Source organism: Homo sapiens, chromosome 14 (genome assembly GCF_000001405.40).
Source record: "Homo sapiens chromosome 14, GRCh38.p14 Primary Assembly".
Lineage (NCBI taxonomy): Eukaryota > Metazoa > Chordata > Mammalia > Primates > Hominidae > Homo > Homo sapiens.
In genome coordinates this window covers 22,454,099-22,474,041 of record NC_000014.9, presented here as the reverse complement: position 1 = coordinate 22,474,041, position 19,943 = coordinate 22,454,099, and the positions used below count along the sequence as shown (strand labels likewise).

Below are 19,943 nucleotides of genomic sequence, written 5' to 3'. Positions count from 1 at the left end.
GGGAATAATAGGAGAAAAGACCCTGCAGATGGCTTTAGAAATCTGGTTAGCAAGAGTCAGGTCAGGTCCCACACAGCCCCATCATAAAAAGTATCACTGACCTGGTTGGACCAAGACTGTTCTTGCTACAGGCTGCTCCAGCGGTGGCAACAACAACACCATGGAGTGTCCCTTCTTCCTCACAGTTTTCCTTCAAACGCTGGCTTTGTGGAGGGCATTGGGCAAAAAACCATAGTAGGGTTCTTCACACTTGTTCTTGCCCATGGGGCCCTCAGCAAGGTCTTTCCCCAAAGCAGAGGCCCTGGGTCCCCATGGCGCTGTCCCAGCCTGGTGGTGAAGGTTGTCTGCAGGACCTTGTCCCTCCCTGGTGTGCTTCCTGCTATTCATCAGGCCAGGTCTGTCCCAGGGATCTCGGATGGAATTGCTACAGGAAGAAAGTGATGCAGAAATCCTTTCTCTAGCCCACTCACCCCCATTTCCACACGTTCAGATGTTTCTAGGCTTTTCCTTTTTAATCACATTTCTATTCTTTCGTAAGAAAGAGATGCACTTGTCTCTATCCATCCAAAGAAATTTCCCTATGTCCTCTACTGTTGCATTAGGCTTTTTGTAGACAAGAAAATGTCCATTTATCCTCTTAGGGTGCTATCTCATATCCTTAAAGACAGTCCTCTTTGGGTGACTGGTGGAGGATAGTCCCTTTGGGCCAACAGAGAAGCAGCTGCCAGTCTCAGAGTTGAAAAGGGAATGGAGACAGAAGCAGCAGCTTTGACTTGAATTGTGAACAAAGAATGTTTTCCTTCCCTGATCTATTTTCTATCAACCTCCAGTATGACCTATTTATGGAGATGCGATAATTAGTAGCAGCAGAGGGCGCTACAATGTCAAAAACAAAGCCGCCCACCTCAAAGGAAACAAGAGAGAAAAGTCCCTCTTCTGAGTGATATGAGTGATCAAGATCCAAGCTGTGGGACAAGGGTGACGTTCGCCAAATCTCTTGGCTCCCACCTTGTCTGAGGACCCCTCTTGAGTGGCAGTTTTGGGCTAATGAAAGGCAGCCCTTCTTCGCTGGTGGGCGGGTGGGGCCTGCAGGGCAAGTGGGGTCTGCAGCACCCTCAGCACCTTGGGAAGAGGCATAGTCTCCAGATGCCAATAGGAAGATGGGTTGGAGAAACTTAGGGCAATACGTCCTTAGTGGGCCACTGAATCTTGAGGCTTTCTCCTATTCCTCAGTGGTGGGGTCACTTGATCATGCATTGTGGCCTCTCATGAACAAGCCTGTTACAATGTTTGGAAGACATAAGAACAAGGGGCTGGAATGCTCACTTCTCATGCTCCTAATGCTCTTAGGGACTTGGGGAGAGCACAGCTGGCTCATGTCTCAGAGGATCACAGGTCTCAGGGGATCACGGAGCTCTAGGACATGCTTGCAGCACTGAAAGCAAATTAAAGATGTCAGTCTTTTTTTTTTAACCATTGATTGATACAACATATCAACAATCTTTTGCTAGATTTTGCAACTTTAAAATTTAGATTTACTCAGCATCTTTTCCCTGAGCAGCATTGATGAGAGTAACACTCTTAGGAACTCTATTCATATGTCTATTTAATAAAAATGGCAACATTTAAATTAAATATGCAACAGCAATACCTGACATTCATAGATCATTTATCTGCTGGGTGTATTGCATGTGTGACCTCACTAAATTTTCCAATAGTCCTGTGAGAAAAGCTATTACTATCTCCATTTTGCAGATGGAGCAATTGAGACTTGGAGAGTTAGGGCATGCTTAAGGTCACACAACTGGTAAAAGCCGGAGCTGATGTGAACCCAAGCAGGCTGGCTCCGGGATCCCACTCTTAGCCATTATACTGCATTGCTGTGCTCAGTGCCTGCCCTTCCTTGGGGGAGGGATGCCTTTCAAGGAATATTGCAAGGACACCAGGGCAAGAGAGTCATGATGATGCTACCCCAAGCAGGACTCAGGTTATGTCTGAACCTTCCATGTAAAGCATTATAGGAGAGGATGTGTCCTTCTGTGTGAAGGTCCATTAAACCCACTTCTCTGTGCTTGGGTATGGTCAGACGTGGGTGAGGTTGGGCAGTTAGAAGAGGAGGAGCAATTTAACTTGAAGATGGTTATGGTCTAGATCAGGAAGGGAACAGTCAGCTCTCATATTAATATCAAGCCCAGACAACATCTTTAGAGCAGGGACAGACACTAAGAGACTGTGGGTGGGGAGTGAGCATAATCCTTGGACTTGGGAGAACCGGAAGCTCTGAAATGGACTTCCGCCAGCAGGGAGCTGGGTCTCGTGGACTGGACCCCTGCCGGCAGGCGGCAGTGCAGGCCTGGGCAGCCAATGCACCGGCAAGGCAGCCCCTGGGCCCTCAACATCCCTCTTCCACATCCAGGGGCCCTGAAGATGCTCATGGTGGGACTCTGGCCTGCCTGGTGCTTACTTTTGGTATTCTGCATGCCTAGCATTGCCAGATAAAACACAGGATGCCCAGTGGAATTTGAATTTCAGATAAACAATGAATACTTTTTTAGTATAAATGTGTTCCAAATATGGCATGTCCCAGCTACCCGTATTACTGAAATTTTTGTTGTTTATTTGAAATGCACATTTAACTGGGTGTCTTGTATTTTTATTTCCTAAATCTAGGTGAATGGTGAGTTTTTAAGTGAAGAAATTGCATTCCTTTTTTTTACACAGATATTTACTGATTGTCTGTGATGCGGTCAACACAAGCCCAGGGGCTGGAGACATATCAGTGAAAAGATAAGCTCCCTGCCCTCATATAGTTTATATTATCGTGTGTGTGTGTGTGTGTGTGTGTGTGTGTGTGTGTGTGTGTGTGTGTGTGTGTAGGGGAGAGGTGAGATGGGAGAGACATAAAATAAACATGTATGAATCTGATGATTTCAGATAGTGATGTGAGGGAAAATAAGAACAGAGATGTAATTGAGGTTGGTTATGGGTGGCATGGGTGACTAATTTAGTTGGAGCTGAGAACTGTGAAAAATTGGAGACAGAGTTTCAGGTAGCTAGAAAAGAGAGACATAGAAAGGACGAGAAGGAAGGCCACTGCAGCTGAAGGGAAGAAAGAGAAGGAGCAGATGTGAGGTGAGGCTGGGGAGGAAGCAAGGGCCAGATCGTTTGCAGATGTTACAGGCCTGGGAAGGAGGTCCAGCTGTCATCATCTGATGTACATTTTATGAAGAACTGGAGAATGGATTGTCCAGGGACAAGAGCAGAAGCAAGGGGGCCAGTTAGTGGGTTATTGAAGCAGTCCCTGTAAGAGATGATGGTGTTTATAGAAGGTGGTTGCAGTGGAGATGGAAGAAGTAGATGGATTGGAGATATATTTTCATGGTAGAACTGACAGGTCTTACTGATGAAGTGGATGTAGGGAAAAAGGGAAATGAAGGACCTTCTAGAAATACTCCTAGGAACACTCCTGCATTTTGGGGAGTGAGTTAGTCAGTGTTCTGTTTTTCACAGCAGTGCCTCCCAACTGTTGTCATATTGATGGCTTACATGGAAAACTGTATTTGTAGTGCTCCTGACTGGGAGGGGCTGGCTCAGGGGCTCCAGCCACCCCAGGTACATGGGCACTCTGAACACTATCTCAGCAAGCTTATAACCCACTTATGGCAGTTCACCTGCCGGGAAGCTCTGTTCAGGATTTTCCAGCTGGAGCCAAGTGTGTGCTGCAGTGGGCCCAGTGAGAGATGGAAAGTCAAGCTGGTGAAGTGCAAGAAGCACTTAGGATCAGGACACTCCCTCAAGCATCTGAAATCAAAGATTTCTGGAATTCAGGTCTAGGACAGATTTTAGAAAGAATCTGGTCCAACCCCCTTTCCTTCCTCTTTACACAGAGGAGTAAGGGAGTTGTCCAAGGTACTCTTTCACTTATTCCATTTATTGAATAGAACAAAGTGTGTGGAGCCGTGCTAGATGCTATGAGACAGTGTCACTCAAAGTACGACATGTGATTAATGGACTAGTACACCAGTCTGTGACCAGAGGATACAGAAATGGAGAGTGAACTACTTTTGTAGCAGTTGGATATCCAAGAACGCCATCATTAGTCTTGCAGTTTTCTTTCCTCCCTCACTTCCTCTCTCTCTCCCTTCCTTTGTTTTTCTTTTCTTTTCTTTTTTAAAAGTAATCCATTTTTCATTGTCATATGTGTTAGTTCAAGATGGATTGGGGCCAAAATCATAATAGCAATAGCAGTTTCCTTGGCTGAGCGCATTTGCCTCTAGAAGTCACAGCTGAATCAGTCACATGACCGTCAGCGCTGCCAGTCTCCTCTTGTTTTCCTCCCGTCTTCTTTCATTAGAACCGTCAGATAGTCTCTGAGATCTTAGGAACCCTGTTTTGTTGTATATCCTCTGCCCTGATATGAAGAAAAGATGATTCTTACTGTGGGCTTTAGCTTTTTGTTTTTCTGTAAGTAGTTTCATTTGTTTACATTCCACTTGCTCTATAACCCCATTTCTCCTTCTCTGACTCTTGAAGGCTTTTTCTCTTGCACTCTTGGTTTTTGGTTATTTGCTGCCTTTGGCTTTATTTCTGTGTCCTTCTCTTGCCTCTGCTCATTGAGTTCTTCTGGGCTAGGCATGTGCTGTACTCACTGTCTGGGGGGTGCAGAATTCACTATTTCCTCATTGTCTTTTTCCCAGACAGGGGCACGCTGTGTGACAAAGTAACCCAGAGTTCCCCGGACCAGACGGTGGCGAGTGGCAGTGAGGTGGTACTGCTCTGCACTTACGACACTGTATATTCAAATCCAGATTTATTCTGGTACCGGATAAGGCCAGATTATTCCTTTCAGTTTGTCTTTTATGGGGATAACAGCAGATCAGAAGGTGCAGATTTTACTCAAGGACGGTTTTCTGTGAAACACATTCTGACCCAGAAAGCCTTTCACTTGGTGATCTCTCCAGTAAGGACTGAAGACAGTGCCACTTACTACTGTGCCTTTAGCACTATGATGCAGGTGCCCAGGAAGTCATAACACAAACTCCTGGGGCACAGCTCAGCAGAGCTGCCTCTTAGGGCAGGTCATGTCTGGGACTTGGCATCCTTCTCTTAGCCATTTTGGGTTCCAGCCTGGCCTTTAGAAGTGACCTAAAGTGTCTTCTGAGAAATAAATGGCCTGGTCAGATCCAGGGGAGCACCCTGGCTTCAGAGAAGCAGAGTATCTCCCCACTTCTGACTCACGGGGCCCTTGCCACCTGAATGACTCCTGGTAGGCAAAGGAGAACTGCATGTTTACAGAGCGCTGTCTTCGTGCCCCTGGTGCCCTGGTCGTCCCGATACAGAAAGGGGCTTGACAAGCCTGTGCTGCATTTTCTGTGAGTGTTTCAGGATGCAGGTTCAGGTGCAGGTAAAGGGCCCATCTAAGGCGAGGCCGTCAGCCGTGTCTTTATTTTAGTCACCACCACCATTTATCCATTATTATGAATTGATCTGTTTTCATTGCAGAATTAAATTAGGGCCAGATGTGGTGGCTCATGCCAATAATTGCAACACTTTGGGAGGCTGAGGCGGGCAGATCACTTGAGGCCAGGAGTTCAAGACCAGCTTGGCCAACATGGCGAAGACCCGTCTCTACTAAAAATACAAGAATTAGCCGGGCGTGGTGGCTCGCGCCCGTAGTCCCGGCTACTCGGGAGGCTGAGGCACAAGAATCGCTTGAACCCAGGAGGCAGAGGTTGCAGTGAGCCGAGGTGGTGCCACTGCATTCCAGCCTGGGTGACAGAGCGAGATTCTGTCTCAAAAAAAAAAAAAAAATTAAGTTAGACACAAAGTTATTTACTTAAAAGACTTTTCACCAATTTACTTTTTTTTTCCCGCATCTTTTTATATCCAGCCACCTTCTCCTTGATGTTCTTTGACACCTCCATTTTACTTATTTTATTTGGAGAACATTTTCTTTTTTTTCACTGCAGAGCACTGAGGCACTCCTGGAAAGTTGTGACTTCCAGAATTCCAGCTGCCAAGTCCCTGAGTTTGAAGCTCAGTGGTGTCTCCGGCAGAGAAAATTTCCTCTGGGGCAAACTGACTATGTGATGTTGAAATAGATACACACCCTCAGTCCCTGGGAATCAGTCCCTCCTTCCTCTTCTCTTGAATTATCTGCCTTAATAGAACTATTAGAGTTATTAGATATAATCTTAGAAATAGAAGAGGCCTTACATGTTATTTTATAGAAACTACACTGCAGTCCAGAGACATGGTGGACATTCTCAAAGTCGTATACCTGGATAATGACAGGCCCAGAGATGCAGCGTTACACTTCCAGGGCTCTCTTCTGCAGCTGTACCCTAGGTGGCTCTATCAGTGAGTGGTTTGGGCAGCAGTTTATGTGCTCTTCAGAAACAGTGGACAAGAGTAGCCACTGTATAGAACAATGGAAAGAACAGGGGATGAGGGAGCCAAAGACCTTGGGCATGTGGCTTGGCTTTCTGGGGCTTCTGTTCTAATGCCTACTGAGTGTGACACATGTCCATCTCACAGTTCACATATCATGGCCCCAGATCAGAAGGCAGCCATAATCCCTCCTGGCTCTTGCCTTAAATCTTCCCTGGAGGCTCCTTTTGGTGTGGGAAATTCATGGTCCTGTGATATGCCAGGATTTTTTTTGTTTCTGGCATAGTGGGCTAGAGGGTGGCTCATTTATATGCTAAATATGGGACAATCCTGAAGTTCATTCTAGCTGATACTCACTTTGACATCTTGTCCTCATTTGGGGATGCAGTATGTTCTTATAGCAGGAACTTTGGGCTGAAAATCTTGAGACCTTGGTTCTGCTCCCAGCAATATCCCTGCCTCACTGAATGACTCTGGACATGATACATACTTTTTTGAGGAGAGGGCATTTTTGTTTTATCTGAAAAATGAGAATATGATCTTTTTGTTCCTAACAACTTCAGAGGAAACACCCTAATATTACACAAGGTAACTCGTGAATGTTTTGGAAATCAGCATTCCTTACACATACAAGGTGTAGTAGACATGATGGGGGAGTTTGCTGTCGGGGATGGCAAGTGGAGTTGTTGGCGACAGTCACTCTTTCACTTGTAACCTCATAACCCCCGACTTGATGCTCCACATAGGTGCTGAGAGAACCACAATAATGGGTTGCTAGGGCTCTGCACCTGAGCAGTGCTCCTGGAAAAGGCTGTGGCCTTCCTGGGTGGCAGTAGCAGAGGTCACTGGCCACGCTGCAGGTGCTGCTGTTGCTCTTGCTGTAACAGCGGCATCAGCAGAGGCAGCAGGAAACCCGAGGCTGGGTCTCCAAGGCAGGGCCTCTGTAGGCTTGGGGCTCAGGAAAGTGCAGTGTGACCCATAAGTTCAATTTGGCTTTTGGCTGACTAATAGTGAGCTCACAGAGCTGAGTTTCCCCCTGTGGTGATCTGCAAAGAGTAAAGCCAGAGGCGAGGTGCACACAATGCAGTTTAATAAATGCAATAGAGGCAGAGGCTGAGAAGAAAGGCAGAAAACCATCAATGCCAAAGTCCCAGGCCAGAGAATCAGTGTCCAATGGTTTCAAATACAGATTGGCAGGCAAAAGACAGTAAAAATGTTGTTTTTATAGGGAAAGATAGGGGTCTCATTTCTGTTCCTCCCTTCAAAAACACTTTCACAGTGAGTTGCTTGAAAGCAGACTTGTGTCTTCTTTGTACTCTCAGCATAGTGCCTGGAACTCAGAGGGAGCTAATTCATGCATGTTAAATCAATTAACAGAAAGCAGTGCCTTTCCTCTGTATTTTACTCTGATTTTTGCTAATAGATTGGAGAGTATTTAGATGAGATTTTGGAAACCTCATTGCCTGCTCATAAAGTATTAGCAAATTCAAATGTAATCTCATTTGTAAAGTATTAGGAGAGGCAGAAAGTGCTGAAACTTTGTCCTCCTCCACGCCATGCAGAATCTCTAGTGTGGCTCCTGAAGTGAACATAGAGGGTGGGACAAGCCGTGAGGACAGGAGGAAGAAGATGATGCTGGTTTGTAGCAAATCTAGTGCTCAGTTGAGCAGAGCCTTCCATGTTTAGATAAAAGGGCACCCGCTCTTCTTCTCCCAAGGCCTATTTGCCTCATGAGGAATGAAGCTGTGAACCTGTTGGTTCCCACTTTCTACTTCAAAAGGTAAAGAAAGTCAAAAGGAACAAAACATCATTTTCAAAGTGTATCACTTGTAGGAGTAAAAAAAGAGTCCTATATCTTTTTATATCCTTCTATCCCTTTATAAAACAGCATACAAAGCAGTTAGGACATAAACCCCCCTTCCCCAGGACTTTTGTCTTCCCATCAAGCTGGAGGATGAGCTGGGTTTGTTGTCTTTGAAGAAAAAGTGGTTTGGCTAGCAGCCATTTTAACAAGGCTATGACAGGTCAACTTGAATCACAAAGAAGTCAGAAGCCAAGGAGATGCATTTTTGTAAGCCTTTGGTTTCTTCAGGAGTGTAGCTTCCTCATGCCAGTCAGCCTGCAGTGAAGAAAGTTGTTATAGAATAGACTGCCAGTGCTAGAAGGAATCGTAGGGGTCATGTAGTCTGGGGTTGGCCGGTACTTGCTATACTGTACCATTGCAGACATCACTAATCTATTGTGGCTCACTTTCCATGTACACATGGCAATAGCTCAGCTAGTTCAGCTATCAGTGTTGGCACAAGTCATGAGACTCTTTTGTTCTCCTTTGGTTATTATTTTTTTTAACTCATTTGTTTTGCAGATGCAAAAACCCAGGCCCAGAGAGATGAAGAAACCTGGCTAAGGTAACATGTAAGTTAGTGTCAAAATCAGGATAAAACCCAGATCTTCTGACTCTTAGTATAGCTCTCTTTTTACCCAGCCACACTGCCTGTGTCCCTGGGACTGTTAGTAAAATAACAGGTGAGCTGGACCCCCTTTTTGAGATGACTGGGTATGTTTACTGTCTGGGTCAGATCAGTCAAGTACTCTGAGTCTAGGGTTGTTCCTAGAACAGAAGCTGGGGTTGATGAGCATTTGTGAGTATTGGAGAAGGAGTGAGGGGGAGAAGCCTCACACGCAAACCCAGGCCCTGGTTTCAATTTCGTGTATGAGATTACCTGAGAACGGAATGCAAGTAACAGGCAAATAATTGACATCTCAAACCTAACTGTGTATGCATCCTGAGTAGCTAATAGTGAGCTGTTCACTACTAATGCTGTGTGTAGGTTCATCCCAAAGACAGGCTGATCCACACATAGACAGGCTGGTCCTATGATTAAGGAGTGTGAGCTGGCATTCCCTTTATCAGGACAAAGATAGGTTCTGCTTCCTCTGGATAGTCTTCAGGCAAAGCTTTACTTATGGCCTTGCAAATAACCCATGGTCTCTTGGTCGATGAACAAAATAGCAGTAAAGAAGATGAATTCTCCTTATTTATCTTCAGTTTTCTCCCTGGAGTGAAAGTGAGGGTTATTCTCTGGTATATTAGAAAAATAGTACATTATACTACCTAATGGGTTTCAGTCTGACTCAAAATGAAAGGATAACAGGAAATGGGGTGCTGTTTTGCTGAGTAGCTGAGATAGCCTACCTTATTAATTCTAAGTATGTCTCTATTTTCCCTTTCCAATGCTTCTTGGTTTCTTAGCCATTTCTAAATCCCCTTTCCCCATGTGCAGCATGGTGTGGGTAGAGATAGGAATAAGAAGCGGCTAATTCTTACCTTACAAGAAAAATAACTTGGCAGTCAAGAGAAAATTGACGGCAACAGTCTTTGCAAACAGCATTCGTAGCCCAAGCACTGTGAGGGACATCATGTTCACCTTCTCGGTATGAACTATGGCTGAAAAAGAGTGAAGAGGGTGGCTTCAGGGAGAGATTAAATTCCCTTCCAGAAATTGGGCCTGCAACACTGATATTAGCCTGCCCCAAGTCTGCCTAGTTCTTTCTGGCCTGCAAGTCCAGCATGGTGCCAGATAGCCGTCAGAGACCTTAGGCTGCTGCTGACACCCAGCCAGGCAAGCTTGGGAAACCGATGCCGACAGCCAGGTAAGCCTTGCTGGGAGAGTCAGAGGCTCTGCAGAACCAACTGGGCTCAGCATGGTTTGTGTTTTCTTTTGAAATCTGATACATTTTGGCCCCAGTGGACAATTACAGAGTTTGCTTTAACCCTTGATTCTGAAGTTGGCCCTTTGATTTGAACTAACCTTTGGGTTTATGGCAGCTCTTTGAAGGTTGCTTTGTGTTTTCAGTTTCCTTTGGTTTTACGTGATCTGGAACAAACAGCAGTGGTCAGGGTTACATTGGGAATGAAGAGGCTCACAGGATTGTAGGCTTTTAAAACTGGAGGAGACTTTGGGTGAGTGAACTGAGGACCAGAGGATGTGACTTGGTGAAGGTCACATAGCTAATTATACAACATGCTTCCCATTCTAGCCTTTTTCATTGTACCATGAGGTCAACATCCAGGCACACCAATATGCGGGAAGAACTAGGATTCTTAGCCCCACAATAGGCCGCATTGCCCTTTGTTGGAATTTAGCACTGGATTAGAATGCACGAGGACTTTCAATCCCAGAGTCTAGTATGAAGGGGACAGTGGTAGGTAAAGAGGAGAGATGAGGAAGAAATAAGATGGGCTTTATTTTAGATTCCATCTTAGGGATGACAAGCATTTCCCTCCCCTGCCAATGGCAGGCTATAGTTGGGCCTAAGTCTTATTTCCAGCATGATGCTATACTGAGAATGATTTGTCCACAGTTACATCTCTAACTTCCCTTTCACCCAATTCTTGTTCCCCATAATCTCCAGCTCCTTGAAGCTAGAAATGGCCTACCTGTAGAATCTGTCTTCACTTCAAAGTCAGTGGAGTGCACAGTTTTATTGTCGTGTTGAACTGAACATGTCACTGAATTTGAATCTTCATATTTACCAAGCTTGACAGCATTGTACTTCCCACTGGGAGAGATGACAATAGCAGGATCAAACTCTGTTATCTTCTTGGATGACACGAGATTTATTCTTATATCCTTGGGGTAGAATTCCTTCACCAGACAAGCGACATTTGTTCCATTTTTCATGACAAAAACGGATGGTTTGGTATGAGGCTGACTTCCTGCAAATATAATCAACTTATTAGGTGAGATGATTATTCACAACTTTGTGGGGGTTAAACAGTGGTGATTACCTCGATTACCCTGGAGCCAAACACTACAATCCAGACCTCCATGCATCCTGTTAGTGACCTGGGCTTATTACCACCTCTGTGAAAGGACAGGCAAGGGGAGCAGAAATGAAAGGCAGTAAGTTTGACTTCCAGTTAGGAGCTGCTAGGAGATAGGGCTGGAAGCACAGATGGAAAATGACAACTACAAAGAAGTTTCTGGATCATCTGGGTTTCGATTATCTGTGGCTTTTTTCTTTTTCTTTCTTTTTTTTCTTTTTCTTTTTTTTTGAGATAGAGTTTCACTCTTGTTGCCCAGGCTGGAGTGCAATGGTGCAATCTCGGCTCACTGCAACCTCCGCCTCCCGGGTTCAAGTGATTCTCCTGCCTCAGCCTCCCGAGTAGCTGGGATTACAGGCATGCATCACCATGCCCAGCTAATTTTTTTTATTTTTAGTAGAGATGGGGTTTCTCCATGTTGGTCAGGCTGGTCTCGAACTCCCGACCTCAGGTGATCCGCCCACCTTGGCCTCCCAAAGTGCTGGAATTACAGGTGTGAACCACTGCATCCAGCCGATTATCTGTGTTTTATTAATCAATCCTCTGGACAATCTAGGTCAGGCTGAATATCTCTCTGCACCAGTTGGTTTTTTGTAAATGCATGGGCCCTTGGATGGTAGATCAGGGCAGGTGCTCATGCTATGCATTCTGTCACTTAAAGAATCGAGGGTCTGAGAAGGACTGCATAACTGGCTCAGAGGTTCTGAGGATGGCAGTGTTGGGGTCCCGGAAGGGTGCCATCCCTTCCAGATCTGCTGGAAAGGGTGGAAAGGGATCTGCTGAAGGTAGGTGGTACATGTTTCTGCCTTTAGGTGAATACTCATTCTTCTGTAGGGGACTGACTACTGTATAGTTTCCTTTGAGTCTTTAATCAGAGGATAACAATGATCATTTTCAGGAAGTCCTTAAAGAAATAAAACCAATTGAAGCCCGTTCATTCTTGTTTTAATCTAAGAGGAACTGTGGAATGTTGGTCCCAGGATTGGCTTCCCTCCTGGCCTTCTCTTCTTTTGTGCCTCACTTTGGACTACCACCCTGTACATGCATACTTTTCTTTCCTTAAGACCACAAGTCTTGAAGCTTTGAGAGAGGTAGTGATGATTCTTTCACACAGTGCCTCACTGAAGTTTTTGAATTGTGATAAATGTTGTGTCCATGGGGACTTAAATTCTTAGGCTATCTTCAAATAACTGTTAAAGAAAGAGCCCTGTTAATACCTGAAACCAAGAAACACAACCAACCTGTGAATGATGATCAAGATACATTTTTCAATCCTAAATTTAATGCTGACTTTTAATATTAATTGCTCCTGTAAATTTGGCCCTTAGTATTTGAAACTTAGGTGAATTTTGCTTCTTGATATCAAATGAAAAATACATTGAATTCCAGTGTACTTTTACCTACTATGGTCTATAATCAAGACATTAGGTGTTGCTGAACAGAAAGTTGGTAATGAATGTGTAAATGGAAAATAAGTAATTTTCCTTTTCCTTTTTTTTTTTTTTTTTTGAGACAGGGTCTTTTCCACCCAGGTTGGAGTGAAGTGGCCCAATATCAACTCATTGCAACCTCTGCCTCCTGGCTCAGACTCTCCTCCAGCCTCAGTCTTCCGAGTAGCTGGGACCACAGGTGCACACCACCACACCTGGCTAATTTTCTGTATAAAAATAAATAATTTTTCTAATGCTTTATCCTGAATCTGAATTTGGGCTTCAGCTGTGAGGTTCACAGCAGCAGAGCTACTGCCAGATCAACTGGTTATATCTGGTTGAGAGGGGGCGATTGCTAGTCAGGAAGTTTCTGCTGATCACGGCTTTGTAAATGGACCAAAGTTGATCATGGTTTTCCTAGAAAATCAACTATTCAGAGAAACCCCCCATCACTACCATCATCATTCTCCCCGTTTCCTCTGCTGAGAAGCTCAACTAAAAGACTGATTCTGTTTCAGTCACTCAGGGCAGGAAACTTATTCCTAAGAATCTGGTTCCTTATGTTTTTGGCTTTAGTTCTAGACAATTGAAAGGATTAGACATTTTTCAAAGGGCTTTCTTGGAACCTGCTTTCAACCTGCTTGAGAAAACTTCCCCTGTTTGGTTTCCTTGCATAGCTGAAGCCACTTGATAACAGAAAGTGATAACTCTAGCATTAACGGTTGGAAACCACATGCATTGCTCACTCACCTCCCTTCATAAGTGCAACACTTCTTGCTCACTATCTTGACTTTGGTTTGAGACATACTCTGGCTGACTTTCAAGGGAGTTACAAGTTACAAAAGAAACTTGTCCATAAAATAAACACCCTATCTCCTTGTTTATTTAAGAGTATCTCTTAATCCTGGTCTGATTTAGTTGGATAATTAAGGCTTGCTAGAATTTTAAAAGCTAAATTCATCAGGCAGTTGTCAAATCATCACTTTGGGCTGGGGAGATTGGGTTTGAGTAATTTGAATAATACAATATAACTGAAAAGACAGATGTCTGAAGAAGGTCATGCACTTATGATATTGTGCTCTGACTCTGTTAGTCAGCATTTCAGATAGAGCATAATACATTGATTTGATAAAACATTTTTCTGAATCCCTCTTTCTACATTAATGTTTATATTTTCAAAACGATTGTTTGAAAGAAAGTGTCTTATAGAATCCATTGTTTGGCATCTTGGTAACCAAAGAAATGGGTGTCTGACTGAATTAAACCTTTTTAAAAACTGGAGTGCACTCAATATAGTTGCCATATGCATCCTAGTCTATTTTGTATTTGACTTAAACCCAGACGTGAAGCTGTATGAAATTGTAGTCCAGAATTTAGATTAAAGATTTAATCGTTTATCTTTGAAGAACTTGTAGTCTTTTTTTCTTAGTCCACAAATATAATTACATTGCAACATGTGTTTCAAGTGTTATTTCTTTGGAAAATTGCTTTATTGTCAGACTTTCTCTTTTTATGAACACCAATACATTGCTAAGTTTATGTGCTGGTAAACAATACCAAAAAAGTGTGTACCATTCCTGAACAGTCTTTCTTAATTTATAAACTTAGAAGTCACCTATGTTTTAGATTCTCATAGCTAGTCCTACTGATCCCCTAAGAATTGCAACAACTGTAATAAATGTCACTCAGAATTTCAAGACTTTCTGCCAATATGGGATTTAACTTAAACCCTGAAATAAAAGTTTGTTCTACCTAATTACTCTGACCATGCTAACTACCTTTCTCCAGAATCTTCCAAGCTGTAGGACACTTGTTTTCAGTTTGCAAGGAGGCACGCATACTAGTTAGCTTAGCCAAAGGGATGTGCAGAGATGAAGCAGCTTCCTGAGGAATTGGGGCTGAAGTATCCCTCCCACTGTCTCCCTTGCACCTGAATGCTCCAACTCTTAGTGTAGTTCTTCTAGATTTCTTTGTGTTTTTTGGGCTGCTCTGAAGATTTCAGAAATAAATGGGAGCTATTGTTTTAATATAGAGTATATATATTAAAATAAATAGAGTTACAGAGCTACTTAAGTGACTCAGTCTAGTGTGTTCACTCTGGCCTATTTCACATCTGTAATACTCTGTCTCCTTGTTATAATTTCATTTACTAGTTATAATTTATAATGCAAACTGGATTGCAGCCCCAGTGCCAGGACTCAAATTATCCCAGAAATATAGGAAAAAGATCAACTCACGGGGCTCCACGAAGAGTTTGATGCCAGTTCCGAAAAACATCTGTCGGGTGTCCCAGGAGCACATTATGACAGTGCCTCACAGGTAACTAGCCTGGAGCTGGCCCTGGGGCCTGAGCTGTAACATCTGTGCCCTGCCTCCCCAGCCTCAGTTCTCAGCCTAGAGACCCCACAGCTCAGAGAACTACAAAGCTGCTCTTGATGAGACCAAGGGGCTGAGTACACAGAGTCTCAGTTCCCTTTGAAGCTAATAATAGTTGAACTGCTTGATAGAGATGTGAGGGTGATATCCCCATCCAAGAGATACTAGGGCAGGGCTGAGACAGAGCAAGAGAAGAGGGTGGCAGGTGACAAATAGCTGCCTTCATGATGGAAAATCTAACTTCCAGTTTATTGAGAGGGGCATCCAAGAAGAACACAATAGCTTGAGGGTAGGGATGGGGCACTTAACTTGACCTTTCTTACAACAAATGTTAGGTTGAGGAGAGGAGGGTTATAGAAAGAGTTTCCATTCTTATTATACTCTGGTTCCATTCTCTTGGGTCACAAGTACAGAATTTTGATTAGAAACCTAATTTCCCCCATCACTCAGACTGAGTCTCACAATAATAACGAACCTGCTTTCTAATTCCCTGAGCTTGGCGAAAGGCTTTCTAAGGACCTGAGGGTTGAACAAGAAATTGGTCACTGCTCAGGGAGCCCACTGGTGCTGTGTGTCATGGACACAGGTCAGAGAAGCCAGTGCTTGCTTTGCATTGCTTATTTTTGTTTTATAATTTCTCCTGACTCTGGATCCAGATATAAGTTTCAGGAGTATATAGTCATCATGTGCAATGTAACATAAAGACCATGTGAATTACTCTGCCTCATCACCAAAAATCAAGATCGTTGGGCTAGAGCCAGGCAAAAGAGAATGACAGTTGTGTAGGGCCATTATTCACTGTCAAAGCTTTAAGGACTTGGGGTTTGATTTGAAAATTTTCACATCCCCTACCTGAGCTTCACATCATCATATTACATTTCACCACTGCAGGAGAAGAAAACCAGAGAAGCGAATGGAGTGTCATCGGGGAGCATGGTCAGCATCCTGGCAGAGGGGCTAAGCATCAGTTTCATCAATTTCCTTCTTCCCTAAGACTCCCAAAGGCACAGCCTCAAAGATTTGATTCTAACACTGCAGATAATTCCAAATTTCAAGTGGAAATGATTTTAGGGGAAAATGAAACACAGTAGTTTTTGCTCAGATGCAATTTGCTAAACATCAATCAGACTACAATCAGCTACGACATGATTCTGTTTCCCTCCTTTTCAGTGCTCTAGTCTCTCTCCCCTCAAAGATAAGAAAACTCACCAAATTCTACCATTTCCCTGGAGGCAACAGGCAGTGGAGAATCCCTATAAGTTTATATTATTCTCTGAGAGGCAGAGACCATGTTGACAGCACCAGTCACTTTTTGGACTTTTGGTCAGATAGCCTAGCCACATTCATGTACCATTCCCTACTTATTTATTTCCTCTGAATAAACAAAATCAATACCTAATCATGTAAGAGGTAATGGCTCTCCCAATGGACTTGGCATTTTGGAAGGTGTCTGAAGGCTATTCTCTGGACTGGTCTTAGTGATTGACTGTTGGCAGCTACCCAAACTACCAGAATATAGCCCCTGGATTTCCAAACATTGGAGTAGGCTACCAGTAGACAATGTCTCCAGTAGGGGACCACGACTTCTCTATTGTCCTGGAGTTGGTGGCTGTGTTTCTACATTGGATACAGGCTCCTGAACCATTGTGCAAAGTTCCCAGTTTCAGGGCTAACAGGAGAGGTGAGCTCATAACTGCTCTCAGCAGACCCAGGCCAGGATGGGACCTTGAGAACCATTTAATCTGAACCATTTATGTTGGTTTAATGCAAGTTCAGAAAAAAGTGACAAGGGCAAGATTGGCTTCTTATCCAGAGAGAGAGAGAGAGAGAGAGAGAGAGAGAGGAGAGAAAGATCCTCTTTTTAAAACTCCTTCTTTCGTAATACTTTTTTCTTTCTAACCTTCCCTCTTCCTACACTGTGACCATGACTTTTATCCCTCATAAATACTGGAGAGACCCTCCTCAACCACAGCTTGCCTTTTTCCTGGTTCTAGGGAGCCCAAAACTAAAAGCCTGACCTAGGGCTTTTTTTCAGTAGTTGTAAAAAACTTATGAATACCAAGCCTCAGAATGGAGTTTCCAAGCATATACAGAATATTTTCTTAAGAGAAATCTAATGCATTTGCTCCCAAATTTTACCCCTACTGTTTGCAACAAACAATGGGTTTCTAATTTGGAACTCTTTACTTCCCAAGAAGCCCCATTCATTCAGGACTACGCTACAACAACCCTAAAGAAATATACACACTGAGCTGTAGTAAAATGCATAACTTACCTGGTTCCACGATGAGTTGTGTTCCCTTTCCAAAGAAGAGTTGTGCTGTCAAAGCACTACCACAGGCATCATTACGAAAAACCTTGCTACCTATTTGCTCCCTGTCAGTCTAATTCATCTGTTTGGAAGTGGGTGGGTGGAGCAGAATGGGTGTAGCTGGAGACAGAGCTTTGCAAGGGTTTCTGAGATCTGAGCATTATATTTTGGCAGCTTTTTTGATGTCTGCTATCTTCTGAGTTTTGACACTTAGGCAAGTCCTTAGATTTTCTGCTATTATCTCCTCAACCTGCCATCTCTTACTCCCAGATCTTGCTTCAGGATAACATTTTCACATATTTTGCTGAGAATTGCCAAATGGCCGTTGTAGGCAGAAACGTAACAACAAGCCTCAACTAAATCAATCACAACAGGACTGTGCCTCAGCGAGAGGTGGAAGGACACAATGGTTGGAGCAAGAGCCATTGATGCAAAAGACTTGGGGTCTATCCAAAGGACTATAATAATCACAGATGACTATGATTTGTATAAATACTTTCCTACTTAAACAGCTGGTGTTTATACTACTTCAACAAAGTTATTGAAATAAACTCTATGAGGTGATATTTTTAGATCCATCTCACAGACAAAGGCACTGTAAAGGTGGTTAAGTGAGTGGCTGAGTTGGGCTTCACTCAATTTCCAGTTTCCAGCCCCTGAACCAGAGTAATAGATGGTAGGACTGAAAGGAGCCTCAAGGCATCATTTTTCCAAACCTCTGTGATCACACAAGGGCTAATTAAGGGATGCATAGGGAGAGTTTTCACTCCCTTTCCAGTGCCTTTTTTTTTTTTTCCATTAAATCACAGAATTCCTACTGGGTAATAGGACAGTCACACCATTGGGCTTCCTTGCTTTTCCTCCCAATTGTTCATAAGAATTGGTCTGGGGATAATCAGGATCATAGTGGGCAAGGGCTGGAAGACAGCTTGGAAATCCTTCATCTAACTATAGGGAAACTATAGTTCAGTGCAGTTAAGTCACAGAGTTTGTCAGCTAATGCATTGTCAGTTAATGCATTGGACAGATTGGAACTTGGCCTCTGATTTACTGGTTCAGCGTGCTCCTCATTTCACCTTGTGTCCACCCCCCGAAGTGCTGTCATGTGAGTCTGATCACAGTGGTGGCCTAGATCTGTACATGGTGGATGCATAGATGTTGAGGAGGGTAGCTTTCTGGAGCCAGGTAGAGGGAATAGAAACTCTCTAGGAAGGACAATGGATCAAGACGGCTCACTGAAGCACAGACGCCATCCTGGATTTTATCGGAAACTCAGTTCCTGTTCCTCAAGCCATCCCTTGCTATATTACCTACTGGAGCACTGCTTCCTAACCTGGTGACTTAGAAAAATATTTAACAAATGTAATTGCCAAACATAGTGGTCATAAGAAGGAAAAGTAGGTTACTTACGTTGTTGTACCTCCAGATAGGTTCCTTTGCCAAAGATCAGGGGTCTGGCACAGCTGACATACCTAATCCAAAAACTACCTTGCTTTTCCCTTTACGGCAACCCTAGCCCCAGTTGCCAAGTCACATGATATTCATCCCATGTGATTTTCTGTCCCATCTGGCCTAGCCTCTTCTCCTCCGTCTTAGAGGTTGTCCTTCAGGATGGAACAAGAGGTGACTCTAGCATCAAATAGAAATCCAAGCTTTTGCCCATATTACAATCTGACAGAATTTGTGCTCAAATAAGAGAGAATGAATATAGACTGGAAAGATGTTTTTTGGTTTGATCAAGAGGAAAGAAGGGTGGAACGTTGGTCATAGAGCAGTGGTTCTCCACCTTCGGGCTACACTTAGGTGAGGCAGGGACCTAGCAGGTTATATATACCATGCATTCCAACCTTTTAGGGGAAATTTATTTCATATCTGAGAGTTTTGCATCATTGCCAAGTATTGTGCAGCAGCCAAACTGCTTAGTACAAAATAGAATTAAGTTTTTCCATCCATTTTAATAACACATTCATGCATATCAAATTTTAGCAAGCTTCAATGACACTCTCACACTTAGAAGTGACAGTTAAATTAATTTCTGTTATACGTGAACATCAGAATCTATGAGATTGCCTGTATGTCACTCATAAAAACCAAGGAGGGAATATGGATTTTTCGGATCAGTTTACAATCCTTAAAAGACTGTAGATGATAGTTGGAGAATCACTAACATGAAGGGTGGTTCCTAGTCGTTGTAAAGTAGAAGGATGTCAGAAGATCCAAAACCTAGTTTTGACTCTGTCCCTTTCCAAGTGTGTAATCTTGGCCAAGTTCCTTAAACTCACTGAGCTTTATCTGGTTTCTCTACGAAGTGAGGATAACATCTTCCGTATTATAGGTTATAAGATTAGATACAGCATCTGTGAACTAGAGAGACTCGATGTAATTATTAGAATGTTTATTAGGGCTAAACTCAGAGAAGATACATTTTACTAGAAGCGTGGGGAATGTAATTGCACTAAGAACAGAGCTCCCAAGCAGGAAGGATTGTTGGGACAGGTTGCTGAAAAAGAACAGAAGCTATTTTTTGGTGTTATGTGATATGAAGAGGGTGCCCACTTCTTAGGGCCGTGGGTTAGGACTGGTATTCAGGTTTCTGTCTCTCTAGATC

The 19,943-nt window shown here is 43.5% G+C and overlaps 1 long non-coding RNA gene, 5 gene segments (V, D, J or C) and 2 further genes, besides 9 other annotated features; 2 read left to right on the top strand and 6 right to left on the bottom strand.

Moving 5' to 3' along the window:
• The window catches only part of TRA (T cell receptor alpha locus), a 930,229-nt gene that overhangs the window by 78,091 nt on the left and 832,195 nt on the right, over positions 1-19,943 (bottom strand).
• Positions 1-19,943, top strand: part of TRD-AS1 (TRD antisense RNA 1) — a 103,555-nt gene that overhangs the window by 8,918 nt on the left and 74,694 nt on the right. The gene's annotated exons all lie outside the window — the stretch shown is intronic.
• Positions 1,848-2,347: an enhancer, noted in NCBI's record as "H3K4me1 hESC enhancer chr14:22940685-22941184 (GRCh37/hg19 assembly coordinates)". NCBI's record gives its function as "activates a minimal SCP1, AML or CMV promoter by ChIP-STARR-seq in naive H9 embryonic stem cells {active_cell/tissue: H9 hESC(naive)}" and the evidence as "EXISTENCE:reporter gene assay evidence [ECO:0000049][PMID:30033119]".
• Positions 1,848-2,849: a biological region, named in NCBI's record as "H3K4me1 hESC enhancers GRCh37_chr14:22940183-22940684 and GRCh37_chr14:22940685-22941184".
• Positions 2,169-2,463: an enhancer, noted in NCBI's record as "tiled region #15263; HepG2 Activating DNase unmatched - State 12:CtcfO, and K562 Activating DNase unmatched - State 8:EnhW". NCBI's record gives its function as "activates a minimal TATA promoter and a strong SV40 promoter by Sharpr-MPRA in HepG2 and K562 cells {active_cell/tissue: HepG2 | K562}" and the evidence as "EXISTENCE:reporter gene assay evidence [ECO:0000049][PMID:27701403]".
• Positions 2,348-2,849: an enhancer, noted in NCBI's record as "H3K4me1 hESC enhancer chr14:22940183-22940684 (GRCh37/hg19 assembly coordinates)". NCBI's record gives its function as "activates a minimal SCP1, AML or CMV promoter by ChIP-STARR-seq in naive H9 embryonic stem cells {active_cell/tissue: H9 hESC(naive)}" and the evidence as "EXISTENCE:reporter gene assay evidence [ECO:0000049][PMID:30033119]".
• Positions 4,428-5,001, top strand: TRDV3 (T cell receptor delta variable 3). The annotated part of the segment is given in 2 exon segments: positions 4,428-4,464; positions 4,698-5,001. Coding segments are annotated over 2 exon segments (341 nt in total), but the record flags the coding sequence as incomplete, so codon positions are not given.
• Positions 5,002-5,008: a recombination feature (heptamer).
• Positions 5,009-5,031: a recombination feature (spacer).
• Positions 5,032-5,040: a recombination feature (nonamer).
• Positions 7,465-11,110, bottom strand: TRDC (T cell receptor delta constant). The segment is given in 4 exon segments: positions 7,465-8,509; positions 9,719-9,838; positions 10,203-10,268; positions 10,832-11,110. Coding segments are annotated over 4 exon segments (1,510 nt in total), but the record flags the coding sequence as incomplete, so codon positions are not given.
• The window catches only part of TRD (T cell receptor delta locus), a 44,032-nt gene continuing 31,553 nt past the window's right edge, over positions 7,465-19,943 (bottom strand).
• Positions 9,307-9,526: an enhancer, noted in NCBI's record as "active region_8116". NCBI's record gives its function as "activates an Ori minimal core promoter by ATAC-STARR-seq in GM12878 lymphoblastoid cells {active_cell/tissue: GM12878}" and the evidence as "EXISTENCE:reporter gene assay evidence [ECO:0000049][PMID:35858748]".
• Positions 9,949-11,148: an enhancer, noted in NCBI's record as "CDK7 strongly-dependent group 2 enhancer chr14:22931886-22933085 (GRCh37/hg19 assembly coordinates)". NCBI's record gives its function as "activates an origin of replication core promoter dependent on BRD2, BRD4, P300/CBP, MED14 and CDK7 cofactors, with strong dependence on CDK7, by STARR-seq in HCT116 cells {active_cell/tissue: HCT116}" and the evidence as "EXISTENCE:reporter gene assay evidence [ECO:0000049][PMID:35650434]".
• TRDJ3 (T cell receptor delta joining 3) lies at positions 14,886-14,944 on the bottom strand. The segment is given in 1 exon segment: positions 14,886-14,944. A coding segment is annotated over 1 exon segment (59 nt), but the record flags the coding sequence as incomplete, so codon positions are not given.
• Positions 17,300-17,353, bottom strand: TRDJ2 (T cell receptor delta joining 2). The segment is given in 1 exon segment: positions 17,300-17,353. A coding segment is annotated over 1 exon segment (54 nt), but the record flags the coding sequence as incomplete, so codon positions are not given.
• On the bottom strand, positions 18,746-18,793 carry TRDJ4 (T cell receptor delta joining 4). The segment is given in 1 exon segment: positions 18,746-18,793. A coding segment is annotated over 1 exon segment (48 nt), but the record flags the coding sequence as incomplete, so codon positions are not given.